General features: G+C 43.5%; 2 protein-coding genes across 10 annotated transcripts in view, besides 2 other annotated features; both read left to right on the top strand.

Annotated features, from left to right (window-relative positions):
- LOC122539214 (Zinc finger protein LOC122539214) overlaps positions 1–5,608 on the top strand; it is a 40,050-nt gene extending 34,442 nt beyond the window's left edge. Inside the window, exons 3-4 of the mRNA NM_001396016.1 lie at positions 368–494; positions 1,652–5,608. Coding sequence (NP_001382945.1) covers positions 368–494; positions 1,652–3,387 — 1,863 coding nt within the window. The 3' untranslated portion in view covers positions 3,388–5,608. The remainder of the gene's footprint in view (positions 1–367; positions 495–1,651) is intronic.
- ZNF83 (zinc finger protein 83) overlaps positions 1–17,659 on the top strand; it is a 78,120-nt gene that overhangs the window by 34,442 nt on the left and 26,019 nt on the right. For 6 of the 9 annotated variants that reach the window (NM_001277946.2, NM_001277949.2, NM_001277945.2 and 3 more), the window contains one exon: positions 368–494. The exons of 1 other annotated variant lie outside the window; for it this stretch is intronic. The gene's annotated coding sequence lies outside the window, so the exon portion shown is untranslated. Of the gene's footprint in view, positions 1–367; positions 495–11,047; positions 11,191–17,659 lie in introns of all 9 variants that reach the window. 2 more of the 9 variants (NM_001348018.2, NM_001348017.2) reach the window with 1 other exon arrangement.
- Positions 7,185–7,479: a silencer, noted in NCBI's record as "tiled region #1800; HepG2 Repressive non-DNase unmatched - State 23:Low, and K562 Repressive non-DNase unmatched - State 17:Gen3'". NCBI's record gives its function as "represses a minimal TATA promoter and a strong SV40 promoter by Sharpr-MPRA in HepG2 and K562 cells {active_cell/tissue: HepG2 | K562}" and the evidence as "EXISTENCE:reporter gene assay evidence [ECO:0000049][PMID:27701403]".
- Positions 17,453–17,652: a silencer, noted in NCBI's record as "silent region_10996". NCBI's record gives its function as "represses an Ori minimal core promoter by ATAC-STARR-seq in GM12878 lymphoblastoid cells {active_cell/tissue: GM12878}" and the evidence as "EXISTENCE:reporter gene assay evidence [ECO:0000049][PMID:35858748]".

Here is a 17,659-nt window from a genome sequence, read left to right as displayed (position 1 = left end):
GTTTTCAGTAGAGACTTGGTTTCACCATGTTGCCCTGGGTGGTCTCGAACTCCTGAGCTCAGTTGATACACCCACCTCAGCCTCCCAAACTGCTGGGATTTCAGGTGTGAGCCACCGTGCCCAGACATATATTTTTTGTATTTTCCATAAAACTGAGACTTCCACAGTGACTAGGAGATTTCAAAATCTATCATGGGAAAGTACAATAAAATGCAACTGCACAAAAAGAAATGTTCAAAAATACCTTAATGTGGGTTTGTCAGAACACCGTCTTGGATCAAATCAATACTTATTTTCTCTTTTCTCATTTTGTGTGAAGGTAATGACTCCTCCCTAATGTTTTGTTGAAATGTGTGTTTAATTTTAGGGATGCTTGACTTTCAGGGATGTGGCTATAGAATTCTCTTTGGAGGAGTGGAAATGCCTGAACCCTGCACAGAGGGCTTTATACAGGGCCGTGATGTTGGAGAACTACAGGAACCTGGAGTCTGTGGGTGAGGAAAATGTCCCTCCTGATGTGAGGAATCTGCCCTTGTCTATCTTGGCTCTTCCTGGTTTTGTATTCTCTTTTGTGATTTTGCCGCATACATGCTTTTGATGTACATGTCATTGTTTTCTGCAGTGATGATCCTCCTGTCTGTCATAGACAGCTTCTTAGAGACTATCCTATGGAGTGGTTTTACATAAAAACAGAACATTCATGAACACTTTGACTAATAGAATTGAACGTCATCCTGCTCTAAGCAGAGATGCCCCTGGTAGCCCTGAGCAGAATTGTCAGGGTGGCCCAGGAGATGAGCTAGAAAGCATGACAGTGACTGACAAGTGTTTCCAGCTGTGATTCTGCTTTTGTTTTGTTTTGTTTTTTGAGACAGAGTCTCCCTCTCTTGCTCAGGCTGGAGTGCACTGTTGTGATCTCAGCTCATTGCAACCTCCGCCTCCTGCATTCAAGCAATTCTCATACCTCAGCCTCCCAACCTAACTGGAATTACAGATGCAAGTCACCATGCCTTGCTAATTTTTGTATTTTTATTAGAGATGGGGAATCACCATGTTGGCCAGGCTGGTCTCAAACTCCTTGTCTCAAGCAATCTGCCCACCTCAGCCTCTAGCCAAGTGTTGGGATTACAAACCTGAGCCACCACCCTTGGCCTTTTGTTCTGGTTTTTAAGGAGCATCACAGAAGCATCTCTCACTGGTACTGTGACAGTGATCATCACATAAACTAATGATCATGTTCTCTAAACAGCAGTCACTGCTGTAGAAATTCCTCTTAGGGAGGACATCATTCAGGCTTACTGCATCATATATATGAGGCTCTTGACTGAACTCTGTTTGACATGGAATTTTGCTCTTGTTGCCCAGGCTGGAGTGCAATGATGTGATCTCTGTTCACTGCAATCTCTGCCTCCTAGGTTCAAGAAATTCTCCTGCCTCAGCGTCCTGAGTAGCTGGGATTACAGGCATCCACCACCATGCCTGGCTAATTTTTGTATTTTTAATAGAGACAGGGTGTTCTTAAACTTTGAAGATCATATTTGGGAATTTTAAAATAAGTATTGCTTTTTGTGTAATATTAACACATTTCAGTATTAAATATTATTTACCATCTGTACTTAATTGGAAACCTATTGGTCTTTATATTTTTTAGATAGCTCTTTAAAATCCATGACGGAGTTCTCATCAACAGGGCACGGTAATACAGGAGAAGTGATCCACACAGGGACATTGCAAAGACATAAAAGTCATCACATTGGAGATTTTTGCTTCCCAGAAATCAAGAAAGATATTCATGACTTTGAGTTTCAGTGGCAAGAAATTAAAAGAAATGGCCATGAAGCACCCATGACAAAAATCAAAAAGTTGACTGGTAGTACAGACCGACGTGATCAAAGGCATGCTGGAAACAAGCCTATTAAAGATCAGCTTGGATCAAGCTTTTATTCACATCTGCCTGAACTGCACGAATTTCAGACTGAAGGGAAAATTGATAATCAAGTGGAGAAGTCTATCAACAATGCTTCCTTGGTTTCAACATCCCAAAGAATTTCTTGTAGGCTCAAAACCCATATTTCTAATAGGTATGGGAAGAACTTTCTCCATTCTTCATTATTGACACAAATCCAGGAAGAACACATGAGAGAAAAACCTTTCCAATGTAATGAGTGTGGCAAAGCCTTTAATTATAGCTCACATTTAAGAAGACATCATGTAACCCATTCAGGAGAGAAACAATATAAATGTGATGTATGTGGCAAAGTGTTTCATCAAAAGCAATACCTTGCATGGCACCATAGAGTTCATACTGGAGAAAAACCTTACAAGTGTAATGAGTGTTCCAAGACCTTCGGTCACAAGTCATCTCTTACACGCCATCATAGACTTCATACTGGAGAAAAACCTTACAAGTGTAATGAGTGTGGTAAGACCTTCAGTCAGACGTCATCCCTTGTAGGGCATCGTAGACGTCATACTGGAGAGAAACCTTACAAATGTGAAGGATGTGACAAAGTTTACAGTTGCAGATCACAACTTGAAACACATAGGCGAATTCATACTGGAGAGAAACCATACAAATGTAAGGTTTGTGACAAAGCTTTTAGGCATAATTCATGCCTTTCACGCCATAACAGAGTTCATACTGAAGAGAAACCTTACACATGTAATGAATGTGGCAAGGTTTTCCAGCGTGATTCATACCTTGCACAACATCAGAGAGTTCATACTGGAGAGAAACCTTACACATGTAATGAATGTGGTAAGGTTTTTAATCAAAAAGCACACCTTGCATGTCATTATAGGCTTCATACTGGAGAGAAACCTTACAAGTGTAATGAGTGTGGCAAGACCTTCAGTCAGAAGTCATCCCTTGTGGGCCATCGTAGACTTCATACCGGAGAAAAACCTTACAACTGTCATGAGTGTGGCAAGACCTTTGCTCGAAATTCATCCCTTCTAATTCATAAGGCAATTCATACTGGAGAGAAACCTTACAAGTGTAATGAATGTGGCAAGGTTTTTAATCAACAGTCAAACCTTGCACAACATCAGAGAGTTCATACTGGAGAGAAACCTTACAGGTGTAATGAGTGTGGCAAGACCTTCAGTCATATGTCATCCTTTGTATACCATTATAGACTTCATAGTGGAGAGAAACCTTACAAGTGCAATGAGTGTGGCAAGACCTTCAGTCATATGTCATCCTTTGTATGCCATCATAGACTTCATACTGGAGAAAATCCTTATAAGTGCAATGAGTGTGGCAAAGCCTTTAGTGGGCAGTCATCACTTATTCATCATCAAGCAATCCATGGTATAGGGAAACTTTACAAATGTAATGATTCTCACAAAGTCCTCAGTAATGCTACAAGCATTGCAAATCATTAGAGAATCCATAATGAAGAGAGATCTTACAAGTGTAGTAAATGTGGCAGATATTTCAGACATTGTTCATAGCTTGCAGTTCATCAGTGAACTCATACTGGAAAGAAACGTTACAAATGTCATGATTGCAGCAAGGTCTTCAGTCAAGCTTCATCTTATGCAAAACACAGGAGAATTCATATGGGAGAGAACCTCACAACTGTGATAATTGTGGCAGTCATTTTTTTTTCTTTTTTCAGATGAAGTCTTACTCTTTTGTCCAGGCTGGGGTGCAGTGGCGTGATCTCGGCTCACGGCAACCTCCACCTCCCAGGTTCATACGATTCTCCTTCCTAGCCTCCTGAGTAGCTGGGACTACAAGCATGCTCCACCAAGCCTGGCTAATTTTTATGTTTTTAGTAGAGACAGGGTTTCACCATGTTGGCCTGGTTGCTCTCAACTCTTGATCTTGTGATCCGCCTGCCTCGGCCTCCCAAAGTGCTGGTATTACAGGCATGAGCCACCACGCCCAGTGTGGCAATGTCTTTACTTTACATTCACACCGCATTAGACATCAGGGAATCTATACTGGACAGAAATCTTACAAATGGAATAGGTGTGGCAATGTCTTTAGTCTGAGGTCACTCCTTGCAGAACAGTAGAAAATTCATTTTTGAGATAATTGTCCCAAATACAATGACTATAGAAAATGACAAACTTTAATTGACATTAGAGTCAATTCTGCATTGACTAGAGTTTGAGTTGACTTAACATTGAGTTCAAGCATTAATTGACATAAAAAGTGTTTACGTCAAGAAGAATGGGCAGGGTGCAGTTGCTCACACCTATAATCCCAGCACTTTGGGAGGCCAAGGCAGGCAGATCACTTGAGGTCAGCAGTTTGAGACCAGCTGGGCCAACAGACCTGAACCAGTTTGCCCAGCCTGTTTTTTCTTTCCTTCTTTCTTTCTTTTCTTTTCTTTCTTTCTTTTTTTTTTTTTTTTTTTTGAGACAGAGTCTTTCTCTTGTCGCCCAAGCTGGCGTGCAATGGCACAATCTTGGTTCACTGCAACCTCCACCTCCTGCATTCAAGCAATTCTCTTTTCTAAGCCTCCCAAGTAGCTGGGATTTCAGATGTGTGCCACCACACCACATAGTCCCTCTCCACAGAGATGGTTGAGAAGGCTGATGGAAAAGCCAGATACTTGTTCTACAGCTTTCCCTGACACTAGTATATCATCCACATACTGGAGCATAGATATACACTTTGGGATGCTCATCTTTTCTAACACCTCCTCAAGAATTTGGCCAAACAAGTTAGGAGAATCTGTAAATCCTTGGGGTAAGACTGTCCAGCAGTATTGTTGTTTTCACCCAGAGTGAGAATCTTCCCATTCAAAAGTGAATATATCCTGACTATCTTCAGCTAAAGGACATGCCCAGAAGGCATCTTTCAGGTCTATTTCTGTAAACCACTGATGGTCATATGGAATTTTGCTGAGAATAGTATATGGATTGGGAACAACAGGATGAGTGGTTTGAACAGTTTGATTAATGGCTTGAAGATCTTCTACAAGTCAGTATCACCAATCTGACTACTTTACAAGTAATATTGGAGTAGTATAGGGAGACATGCACAGTTCAAGTAGCCCATCTCAGATAAGGCTCTCAATTAGAGGTTTTAAACCTAATCTACCTTCTAAGGGAATTGGATATTGGTTTCTTTTCACTGTTTCCCTGGGAGTTTTTAACTTTATGTGAATTGGAGGAACTTGTAGCTTCCTTCAATTTCCCTCCCTTGACCACTCATTAGCATTGATGTAGCTTTCTTCTGCTGTAGTAAACAGGTTTAATGAAGTGAAGAATCCTTCTGGGCTTACACGCAAGCCTATACCTAACTTTGCCATTAGGCCACTTCCTAACAAGTTTGTCCCAGCCTTAGGAAGTAGCAAAAATTTAACATTGGTTGATCGGGTTTCAAATCTGACTTCTGTTTTTTCTGAGACTTTGGCTTTAAATCCTTCCCCTTTGACTCCTAAAACTTGAAGTTCTTCTAATAAACAATTTATATTAGAGGGCACAAAACAAACAGAGGAGTGGGAAGCTCCTGAGTCTATTAGAAAAGTAATAAGTTCGGCTGGGTGCCATGGCTCACACCTGTAGTCCCAGCACTTTGGGAGGCCAAGGTGGGCGGATCACCTGAGGTCGAGAGTTCGAGACCAGCCTGACCCACATGGAGAAACCCCATCTTTACTAAAAATACAAAATTAGCCAGACTTTGTGGCACATGCCTATAATACTAGCTACTTGGGAAGGCTGAGGCAGGAGAATCACGTGAACCTGGGAGGTAGAGGTTGCAGTGAGCCAAGATCACGCCATTGCACTCCATCCTGGGCAACAAGAACAAAACTCTGTCTCAAAAAAAAAAAAGAAAGAAAAGTAACAAGCTCATGTTTTGGTCCCACCTTTAAATTTACCACGGGCTCTCAGTGGGACTGGAGATAGAAAAGACAGAGCCCTTGACTTCCTTATTCTTTAAATTCCTTAAGTGGGATTTTTTTTTCTCCTTTCTCCACTCAGGACATTCTCTTTTGAAATGACCTAATTTTCCACACTTGTAACATTTGTCTTGTCCCTCTCCCTTTTCAGTTTTTGGAGTCTTAGGGTACTGGGTTTGCTTTCCCTTTTTACCTGTCTTTGAGTTCTGTGGCCCCCCTGTCTCATATCTTTTGTGAGGCCTGGCAAATGGAGGCTTAAGCTTGGCCTCTGGTGCATTCTGTCAGAAAATTTTTCTTTTTGCTTTGGTTTTTCTTCATCCCTCCTTACATATACTTTTTGAGCTTATTCTAAGAATTCCCGTATAGACTGTTTTTTCCAGTTTTCTAGTTTCTGTAACTTTTTTTGCAATGGCTTGCTAAATGGCTACCAATGGCTAGCTATTGGTAACAAAATGTAGCTTTAACATTTCTTGCCTGCTAGGGTCTTCTGGATCCAAATGTGCATATTTTCTCATTTGTTCTCATAGTCTTTTTAGAAAGTTTTTAGGGCTTTCATCTTTTTTCTGTTTTATCTAAAATGCTCGGGGAAGATTCTGAGCACAGGGCACTGACTCCTGAATTCCTTTAATTATCATTTCCCTTATATCTTTCATGAATTTTTAGTGGACTGTGTCGTTATCCCATTGAGGATCTTGGGTCGGGAATTTCTGGTCTACAATGGGAACGTTTTGGCTGGATAGGTATTTACGTTCCCAAACTCTCATAGCAGTCCTGCAAATCAACTGCCTTATATATAATACTCCAATATTACCTGTAAAGTTGTCAGATGTGTCATACCGGCTCATACAAGATCTTTTGTATCATTTTATAAAACGATACAAAAGCTGCAAAGCCACCAGCCTGCCTGCTTCCCTTGGAGAAGTTGGGACTTCCTGACAACTGCACAAACTCACGTGGGGGATTTCAATATCCCAAAGCATGCAGATTCCTGGTGTGGCTGGAATTGGTGCTGGGGTGCTGCGAAAGCCAGGTTTGAAGCAGGAAGACAAAAAAACCACTCACCTGTGTCAGCCTCGAGTGCTGAAGAACAACCGTGTGTGGGCCTTCAACCCTGTCTGGGTGGGTTCTGGACAGTGGGTGGGGACCCGGCGGGAGAAGGGAAAGGTCGTTGAGGGGGCAGGGCATGAAAACTGTCGCTGGAGCTGGGCAAGAGGGTGGAGGCTGCTTTGGAAGCTGGGCCTGGTTAGAGGGTGGAGGTGGAGGTAGGGCCTGGAGTTTCAAGCTTCAGCCATGCATAGACTAGTCAGCTTCTGGTGTGTGACTAGAACAGGGCTTGTTCCCTCAAGCTTCAGCTGTGCATAGACTGGTCAGACTCCGTAGTGACTAGAGCAGGCAGTCTTCTTTAGCAGCAGGTTGATCTCATCTCAGGATGAGTTGGATGATCTGGGTCCTGCTGGCTTGTCTACTTGTCTTGAGCTGCCAGTTTCAGCTGACTGTGGTGGATCTAAGGCACAACACCTGCAACTTTAACAGCAGCGGGACTGAACAAGATTACAGTATAGGGCTTATATTGTATGAGTCTTAGAGAAGTTGGATTCTACATAGCTGGTGGCCTTGTAGCTGTGTCAAAAAAAAGAACTGGCTAAATACAGACATTTGTAAAACATAGTCATGCTTAAGAGACTAGGGAAATGAGTAACAGTAGAAGAATTTGTCTTTCTCTCTCTCTCTCTTTTTTTTTTCCTTCACTTTGTTCTGGAATTTAAAAAGTGTCTAGAGCCCATTACTTTAGCCTTAGCTTTTTGGACAGCGTTATCTTATAACTTTCCTTGAAGTGAGCTGCTAAGCAGAAGAAAACTTGTTTCTTTTTCTTTTTAACCTTTACCACAATTCTGTGGGCCAAAGGGATCAGGAGACAGACATAGAGCAGTAGAAAACCTGAGACAGAGAAAAGAAGAATGAGAGAGACTCATAACAGATGGTAAAGTAGAGGAGGGGTGAGGGATTTGCCAAGAGGTGACAAAAGTGAAAAAAAAAAAAGATAAGAAAGCAGGAGGAGAAAAGCAACTGGAGAAATGTAGAGAAAAGCTAGATGTACAGAGAGATGAAGAACAGCAAGGCAGGAAGAGGGGCAGCAAAAAGGGAGGCTCATCAGAGTGAGGGAGAGGAGGAGGGATTTGCAGCCAGGACAGACAGAGCAGAGTGGTGCTGGTGGCAAGGAGAACAGAGGAAGAACAACAGCAGGGAACACAGCTGGGAATCTAGGGTGCCAGAGAGTGGGTACAGAGGGGTATAACAGGGAAGAGATAATTTAACAGGGAGAAAAGAGGAGGTGCAGAGATGGGAGAAGAGGTGGAAATATATGGAGATTGAGGATGATTGAAAGACTGGGGAGAAGGAGGAACAAGAGGTTATATAAGTTCCAAGGATGAAGCAGAAGAGGTGGAAGAGAAGGAATAGAGGTAAGAAGGGAATAAACAGCAGCAGAAGAGAGGGGTACAGAATGAGGTGCAGAATCCCAGGGAAATAGAAAAAAAAGAGCTAGAGAGAGAAGGGGAGAATGAGAGATATTTACAGAATTAGGGAGGGAAGCACAGTAATGAAGACAGAGGGGCCAGGCACAGTGACTAATGCCTGTAATCCCAGCACTTTAGGAGACTGAGGCAAGGGGATTGCCTGAGTCCAGGAGTTTGAGACCAGTGTGGGTAACATAGTGAGACCCCCCATCTCTTCCAAAAAACAAAAATTAACAGGGCATGATGGTGCACACCTGTACTCACAGCTACTCTAGAGGCCAAGGCAGATGAGTGAGTGAGTTCATTGGATATGATTACTTGTGACATCTTCACTTCTGTGTATATAATAAATAAATTATTTAAATTATACAGATGAAACTGAGAATTTTAAAATGCCTATCTATAAGACATGTACATTCTATAAATCTTGGCATCAGAGGTTAGTTTTCACTTGGAATCCCTATTCAGCCACAGGATAGTGATTTATTCACTTGAGAGTCTCACTCTCTTCCCTTTTTGCAGGGTGGTGTAGGAAGTGGGGCGGTGAGGTGGGAAAAAAACCACTTTCTGTTATTACATAATGTGGGAAATGAGAGGACTGGAGAGATCAATGGGTGAAACATAGGAGTTTTATTAAGGTGCACACCAGCTCAGTGGACTCACATCCAGAAAGCTAAGCCCAGAACAAAGACAGAGCTGGGCTTATATAGGCAAGCTTACAGAAGCAGGACAAAGACAGTAAATCATACAGTGACAGGTTATGTAATCTATACCATAACTGCTGCCTTGGTATAACTTGTGGCCTTGCTTAGCTGTGACCTTGCAGATGCATCAAAAGAAAAACAGGAACTTACAGAGTTTGCTAAATACAGACATGCAGACATTTGCAAAAATAGTCAAAATTAATGATTCTGGGAAAGGAGAGACAGTAAAGGAATTTGTTTTCTTAACCATGTGTAGTTGGGGGGGATGTATCCAGTTTCTTAGACTGGGTCACCACAAACCTTTCTATGGCCTTTCATGTTACTATCCTTGGAGTGAGTGAGCTCAGCAGAGGAAAATTTGCTTTCTTCTTTAATTTCTGCCTCAATAATACTTTTAATTTAATTAACTAATTAATTAATATTTTCAGATAGCATCTGGCTCTATCACCCAGGATGGAGTGCCATGGAGTGATCTCCTCTAACTGTAGCCTTGACCTCCGGGGGTCAAGTGATCCTCGTACCTTGGCCTCCCGAGTAGCTAGGACCACAGGCATGAGCCACCAATCCCAGCTAGTTTTGTTGTTGTTGTTGTTTGGAGAAATGGGATTTCACTGTTTCCCAGGCTGGTCTCAAATTCCTTGATGCAAAGGATCTTCCTGCCTTGGACCCTCAAAGTACCAGCATTACAGGGATTAGCCATCACACCTGGCCTACATATAATTTTTTAAAGGAATATCAAACCATGGTGGCTCATGCCTGTAATCCCAGCACTTTGGGAACCTGAGATGAGCAGGTCACCTAAGGTCAGGAGTTTAAGACCAGCCTGGCCAACATGGTGCAACCTGGTCTCTACTAAAAATACAAAAATTAGCTGGGCGTGGTGGCATGCACCTGTAGTCACAGCTACTCAAGATGCTGAGGCACGAGAATCACTTGAACCTGGGAAGTAGAGGTTGCAGTGAGCCGAAATCATGCCACTGCCCTGCAGCCTGGGTGGCAGAGCAAGTCTCCATCTCACAAAAACAAGCAAACAAACAAAAAATAAACAAAATCAAAAACAGGAACATGAAAACTGCTTTTGTTCTCTTGTGTAATAGATTTACTTTATTTTTTTTTCTGTTTCCTCTTCATTTTTCTATTTTTCTTTCTTTATCCTTTTTTTGGGGGGGGGCAGAATCTCACTCAGTCACCCACACTGGAGTGCAGTGGCATGATCTTGGCTCACTGCAACCTCTGTCTCCCGGGTTCAAGTGATTCTTTTGCCTCAACCTCCTGAGTAGGTGGCACTACAGGTATATGTCAGCACGCCCAGCTAATTTTTGTATTTTCAGTAGAGATGGAGTTTCACCATGTTGGCCAGGCTGACCTTAAACTCCTGACCTCAGGTGATCTGCACATCTTTGCCTCCCAGAGTGCTGGGATTACAGGCGTGAGCATCTGTGCCTGGCCAAGATAAATCTTAGTTTTCAAAATTTCTTTTTTAATACATAATCACTTCTGAAAGATGCCTTTGTTGCATCCTATAATCAGCTCACATCATTTTTTTCTGTACATGTATGTTTTTCAGTTATTTTCCTGTTGACCCCAGAATTTGTTATATTTTTTAAAACAATTTCAAAATAGTTTCTGTTTGTGTCTGGTTCAAATCGAGATGTGCATGCTTTCTAGTCTTTATTATTTATTGGAAACCTTTGGTACCTAATGCAGAGGTTTGATTGTTTCAGTGTGTACCCGGTAAAGATGTCAGTGACCTTTTACCGTAACATCAAAGTGTAGTTTAACCAGTTAGTCTATTTTTCAGTTTTCTTTCCTTATGTCATTTGTTAAAATCTTGAGCTGTAAGCTATTAAGTGCATGTTTCCCTCAGGCCCTCTGGTCCATTCTGGACAAATGTTGAAAGATGGGTTGGATTGGCACGGAACGCTGTGCCAAAAGCACCCCCTTTTTTTTTTTTTTTTTTTTTAAGATGGAGTTTTGCTCTTGTTGCCCAGACTGGAGTGCAATGGTGAGATCTCAGCTCACCACAACCTCCTCCTCCCGGGTTCAAGCTATTCTCCTGCCTCTGCCTCCCAAGTTGCTGGGACTACAGGTGCCTGTCACCATGCCCAGGTAATTTTTTGTATTTTTAGTAGAAATGGAGTTTCACCATGTTGGCCAGGCTGGTCTCAAACTCCTGAGACCTCCACCTGCCTCGACCTCCCAAAAAGCTGCAATATCAGGCATGATCCATCGCACCCGGCCACCCATGTATTCTTGATTGAAAACATTTGCTCATGTCTTAGTTCTACAGCTGACCTTCTTTCACTGTTTTCAAGGTCAATAACTGTGTGTTCACACTTCTGCATTTTATAAATGTTACTGTGATTTTCTTGTAATGAAGAATTAAATGTTGGGAGTCAATGGCATCAGAACCTTGCAAAAGAGGTTTTTTTAGCCCAGGTATGTGGAAGACACTTCTTTAATTTTCAATAATGGGTGTGATAAAGACCAACCCTTCCCATTAGCCCTTCCAGGCCCACATGTAAGAATTCAGACACATCTTTTCACTCATCTCAGACCTTCTCAGGGTAACTCGGTGAAAATGTCTTCACTCTGAGCCTCAGTGAGCCTCCCTGCAACTTGCAGATGAGGGGCTAGACCGGAAAAGCTCAACCTGAGTGACCCTGGCCCCTGAAATGATTGGCAAAATAGAGTGGGTGTCTGGATGTGGCTTTTTTTCTGTGAGAGGGGACTGTCCAGTTGTAATTAGAATTTTAAATGGGATGCAGTACCCTAAAAATGAAAAAAAAAAAAAGAAGAATGGAAGAAACAGAGTTGTAGACTCAGACACAGAGACCATCTTCGGGGCCTTTCTCTGTGTGAGGACATCACAGCGAAATCTAAAGCAGGTCATGTCAGTCCCTGGCAGGGAACCCTCCACCAGCTTCCCGTGTTCCCCAGGACAAAAGCCCCACTCCTCACTGTGGCTCCACAGCCCTGTGTCCAGGGCCCCTGCCAGTGTCCAGCTTCCTCCTGGGAACTTGCCCTCATCTCATGACTACCTCTGCCCCAGTCACAGTTGCTTTTCTCTTTTCCCAAACATCAAAACCCTTCCTGTCTCAGGTTATTGTCCCTGCTCTTACACTATGTACCTAAATGATGACAGCACTGTCCCTTTCTCCTCCTTCAGGTCTAGGCTCAGAGATGTCTCCCATGCCCTCCCACCCCCATCTGAAGATTCCTCTGCCTGTCAGTCTCTCACGTTACTCAGGAATTTTTTTTTTTTCTTTTTTAAGACAGAGTTTTGCTCTTGTCACCCAGGCTGGAGTGCAATGGCACAATCTCAGTTCACCACAACCTCCACCTCCCAGGTTCAAGCAATTCTCCTGCCTCAGCCTCCCGAGTAGCTGGGACTACAGGTGCATGCCACAACACCCAGCTAATTTTTTGTATTTTTAGTAAAGATGGGGTTTCACTGTGTTGACCAGGATGGCCTCAATCTCCTGACCTCTTGATCCACCCACCTCAGCCTCCCAACGTGCTAGGATTACAGGAGTGAGCCACCATGCCCGACAGTTGCTCAGGATTTTTATCTCTGCATCACTCACATCGTTAATGCCTTTTTTTTTTTTTTCTATTTGAGACAGAGTCTGACTCTGTGGTCCAGCCTGTGAGTGCAGTCTCTGTTTCTTGACTCACTGCAACCTCTGTCTCCTGGGTTCAAGCGATTTTTGTGCCCCAGCCTCCCAAGTAGCTAGGATTACAGGTTTGTGCTACAAAGCTGGCTAATTTTTGTATTTTTATTTTTAGTTTATTGTATTTTTGAGTCTCACTCTGTCGCCCAGCTGGAGTGCAGTGGCATGATTTCGGCTCACTACAACCTCCACCACCCAAGTTCACTGGAACCTCCACTCCTAGGTTAAAGCGATTCTCCTACCTCAGTCTCCCCAGTAGCTGGGATTACAGATACCCACCAAGCCTGGCTACTTTTTGTATTTTTAGTAGAGACAGGGTTTCACCATGTTGGCCAGGCTGGTCTTGCACTCCTGACCTCAAGTAATCTGCCCATCTCAGCCTTCCAGAGTGCTAGTATTATAGGCATGAGCCATGGTGCCCGGCCCAATTTTTGTATTTTTAGTAGAGACAGGGTTTCACCATGTTGACCAGGTTGGTCTTGAACCCCTGAGCTCAAGTAATCCTCCCACCTCATCTTCCTAAGTAGCTGGGACCACAGACACACAGACATGCACCACTAACCCAGTTCATGATAGACCCTTGGACTTTACTGTTATGGAAAATGTATATAAAGAAATATCAGTGTGTCAAAGCCTTATGTCTGTCACAAGCTGGTGAAAGAAAAATAAAAATTACTAAGCCAAAGAGAAAAGTCAAGCTGGGAACTGTGTCAGACAAACTTGCCTCCCGTTTTATTCCTAAACAAGATAGCTACAAGGATTTTTAAAAAGTTAGAGGCTGGGTGCAGTTGATCACCTGAGGTCGGGAGTTCGAGACCAGCCTGACCGACATGGAGATACCCGGTCTTTACTAAAAATACAAAATTAGCCAGGCGTGGTGGTGCCTGCCTATAATCCCAGCTACTCAAGAGGCTGAGGCAGGAGAATCGCTTGAACCCAAGAGGCGAAGGTTGCAGTGAGCCGAGATTGGGCCACTGCACTCCAGCTTGGGCAAGAGCAAAACTGTCTCAAAAAAAAAAAAAAAAAAAAAAAAAAAAAGCTACAATACTCCCCTCACAAACTGGAAGCCTCAAGCTCTTCACCCTAAAATAGTTCTGTTGAATTTTACCCTGGCAATGTAAACTGATAGCTTATCTGCACAGGTGTGGGACAGAACCCGTCCCTCTGTACACCTGAGTCAAATGCCTATCTGACTGCTTCCCCTGCCCTATTTATGTAAAAATTCAGAGTCAATGAGCCAGATTAAGGCATAAGTGACTATTCCTCTACTCCCTCTCATATATAAATTGTGTATTCAGTGAAAGGCTGATGAGTCACTCAAAGAATGTGATAATTTATTATCTACCTGTGACCCGGAAGCCCCCCAATTCCAGTTTTTCCACCTTTCCAGACCGAATTAATGTACATCTTATATGTATTGATTGATGTCTCATGTCTCTGTAAAATATGTAAAACCAAACTGCAGCCTGAAAACCTTGGGCACCTGTGGTCGGGACCGCCTGAGGCTGTGTCACAGGTGCATTTTTAACCTTGGCAAAGGAGATTTCTAAATTGATTGAGACCTGTTAGATACTTTTGGTTCACAAGCTCATGAACACAGAAAAAAAAGAATAGGAAAAAAACTAGCACAAAATCAGTTCCAAAATGATCGAGATGCCGCCATTGCACTCCAGCCTGGGCAACAAGAGAGAAACTCCATCTCAAAAAACAGTAAAAGAAAAGAAAAGAACTAAGTGTAATGGAAAGCACTAAATCAGTTCCAAAATCTGAACTCCTTCATATTTATTCAACATAGGGAAATGCTCTTCAACTTTGTGTGCTTAGATTCCATTTATGAATGATATATTTCTAATATTTGATTAAAATAAAAACCCATGCTATGTAATTTTAGCCAATTTAAAGCTGCAAATAATAAATGATCAATTATATACATACGTGAAACTTCCTAATATTTCACTTAGTATTGCTATTGCTATGTTCTTGAGGCAGACGCTCAGTCTGTCAGATAGATACATTACCAGAGCTTGGTGTCTTCCATATTTCTGCTTAGGACTCTGTGGACCATGAGTGTATAAACTTAAGCAGGAACCTAGGAGAGCTAGAGCGTGGGGGCGGTGCCTGGAACAAGACTGGGGCGGGGCAAGAGGGAGGAGGCCGCCTGGGGGCCAGGCCATACAATGGGAAAGGGCAGAACCAGAGGGTTATCGTCATCTTGGGGGCGGGGTCTGGAGGGGGTGTTGTTCTGAAGGGTGGGGGCCGGCAAGGGTCGGGTTCGGGCTCTCTCCTCAGCTGGGCCCCAGATGTCGCCTGCTGTCATCCTCTTGCCCGCCTGGACTAAATCCTCCGAGTTCTGATTGGTGGATTGGTTCTGATGTGCCGTGATATTACCCCTAATATCACAGGGATGTTTCCTGCCCATTTCAAGTTAGTGTTTCAGACAATCGAAGATAAAACAACATGTTGTAGTAGGACACCTGTACTGAACACTGAATCGTTTTTCCTCTTAAGTTGAAAATGGTTTTAATGCAAAGCGCCTTGTTTGAGCAGGCAGAGTCCTGCAGTCGGGGCGAACTCCCCCCTCAGTCTGGGGCAGCGCAGTGGGGAGGGCAGGGACCTCAGTAAAGGGGTGGACTGGGGCGCTGGTTGCAGAGAGGACTGACAATTAGAGTCAGTAGAACTGCTTGAACCCAGGAGGTGGAGGTTGCAGTGAGCTGAGATTGCACCACTGGGCGACAGAGCAATACTGCCTCTCAAAGAAAAACAAAAAAGAGTTTTCCTGTTAATAATTAGGAAGACTAAGCAGCCCCAGAGATAAGACCTCATGGGATCATTGTTACTTCTTATGGAGTGATAAAGTGACCTTCCTCGAATTGTATCAATCCATAACCAATCAAGTTGCTGCAACCTATGCACTGGGCTTGAATGAAAGCTGTCATGATTCTGCTAAAGATTCTCTGTCTTTCCCTGTGTGTGAAACCTTAACGTCTCTACTTTGGAACGCCGATCTCATTTATTTGGAGTTGGTGTTTCCAGGTGGCTTTCTTCAAGCTTTGTGTTCACATAAACTCAGTACTTAATCTTACATTCTAAATTTTATTATTTACTGCTGACGTCAGTTTCTGTCGGATTGTAGGCGCCTGACCAGAGAGGGCACGCGTCGCTATGTTGTAAAACTCACACTCGTCAAAAAGACATGGGTTAGGGTTTTCCCCCTCCCTCTGGATGAAGCTAATTAGCTGACACAGATGGTCACCTCCATTACCAAATAGAGCCAGGATGAACTATGTGTGACCAAGAGTGTTGTCAAGTCCTCTTCCCTGAGGACTGATTAGTGTTTATCTTGAAAACATGTACTCAATGGGTTGTATAGAACAGTGAAGTTTCCTTGTCTCTTTTCAACCTCTTAGCTGTTTGCCTCAATTTCCCATCACATTCTGGTTTAAGGCTTACTTATTAATAATGTGGTTTTTATTTCTTTCACTATTATCATCGTGAAGATGATTTCTCATTGGGGGGAAGATTTTTTTTGTTTTCCATTATATTTTCTCAAAATTTAAAGAGTAAAGAAATGAATATTTTTTGGGCCAGGAAGTGTGGCTTATGACTATAATCCCAGCACTTTCAGAGGCTGAGGCAGTCAGATCACTTGAAGTCAGAAGTTCGAGACCAGCCTAGCCAATATAGTGAAACCTCGTTTGTATCGAAAATACAAAAATTAGCCGGGCATGGTTGTGCGCGTCTGTAATGTCAACTACTCCGGAGGCTGAGACAGGAAAATCGGTTCAACCCAGGAGGCAGAGGCTGCAGTGAGCCCAGATCTCGCCACCGCATTCCAGCCTGGCCAAAAAAGAAAACTCTGCCTCAAAAAAAAAAAAAAAAAAAAATAGAAAAAACTAAATATATAAAAGAAAATAAGCCGGGCGCGGTGGCTCACACCTGTAATCCCAGCACTTTGGGAGGCCGAGGCGGGCGGATTACTTGAGGTCGGAAATTTGAGACCAACCTGACCAACATGGAGAAATCCCATCTCTACTAAAAATACAAAATTAGCAGGGCATGGTGGCACATCCCTGTGATCCCAGCTACTTGGGAGATAGAGGCATGAGAATCGATTGAACCTGGGAGACAGAGATCGCGCCATTGCACTCCAGCCTGGTCAACTAGAGCAAAACTCCATCTCAAGAAACAAAAAAAGAAACTGATAGATCTCTTACACAAATACGCTGGGACAACTAACTGGATATCCACGTGGAAAAGAATAATGTTGGATCCCTATGTAACATCATCAAAAATTTTATTATAAAAAAGAAAAGAGAGAGAGAGACGAGGAAGGGAGCCCTGCGGGAGGGGGTGTTACTTTGTCGCCCAGGCTGGCCTGAACTCCCAGGCTCGGCGATCCTCCCGCCGCTGCTTCCTGAATAGCTGGGACCTCAGGCTCCCACTCCCGCGCCCATATCCCAGCTGTGTTTAAGCCGCAGGTGGTGACCTCACCCATCCTTGGCCTGAGCACTCCATCCTGCATCTCAGGCAGTGGCCTGAGTCTCTAAAGCTGAGCACAGCGTGGACTCTCTCCCAAGTGAATGGAGAATAGAAAGGGAGAGGATTTCTATTCGGTTCTGTGGGCTATCAGCATGAAATTGTACCTTCCGCCCAGGCAGGGCTTTGCATTTCACATTCTAGTTTGCATCCCCGTTCCAGATAATTCCAGGGCTTTTGAATCATGCCTCAGCCTTCCTGGCCGGTCTCGCCTCCAAAACCCGAAAAATGCCTCTGCGCTGGGAACGATGCTGAGAGACTCACAGGTCCCGCCCTGGCCCCGCCCACTGCTGGTTCTAAAGGGGAAAGTCTCTCGGCTTCCCACCCCGCCCCTACCTCATCCAGGCCCCGCCCACCTCGCGGGCCCC

The sequence above is a fragment of the Homo sapiens genome, chromosome 19 (assembly GCF_000001405.40).
Source record: "Homo sapiens chromosome 19, GRCh38.p14 Primary Assembly".
Lineage (NCBI taxonomy): Eukaryota > Metazoa > Chordata > Mammalia > Primates > Hominidae > Homo > Homo sapiens.
This window is presented reverse-complemented; position numbering and strand designations above follow the sequence as displayed.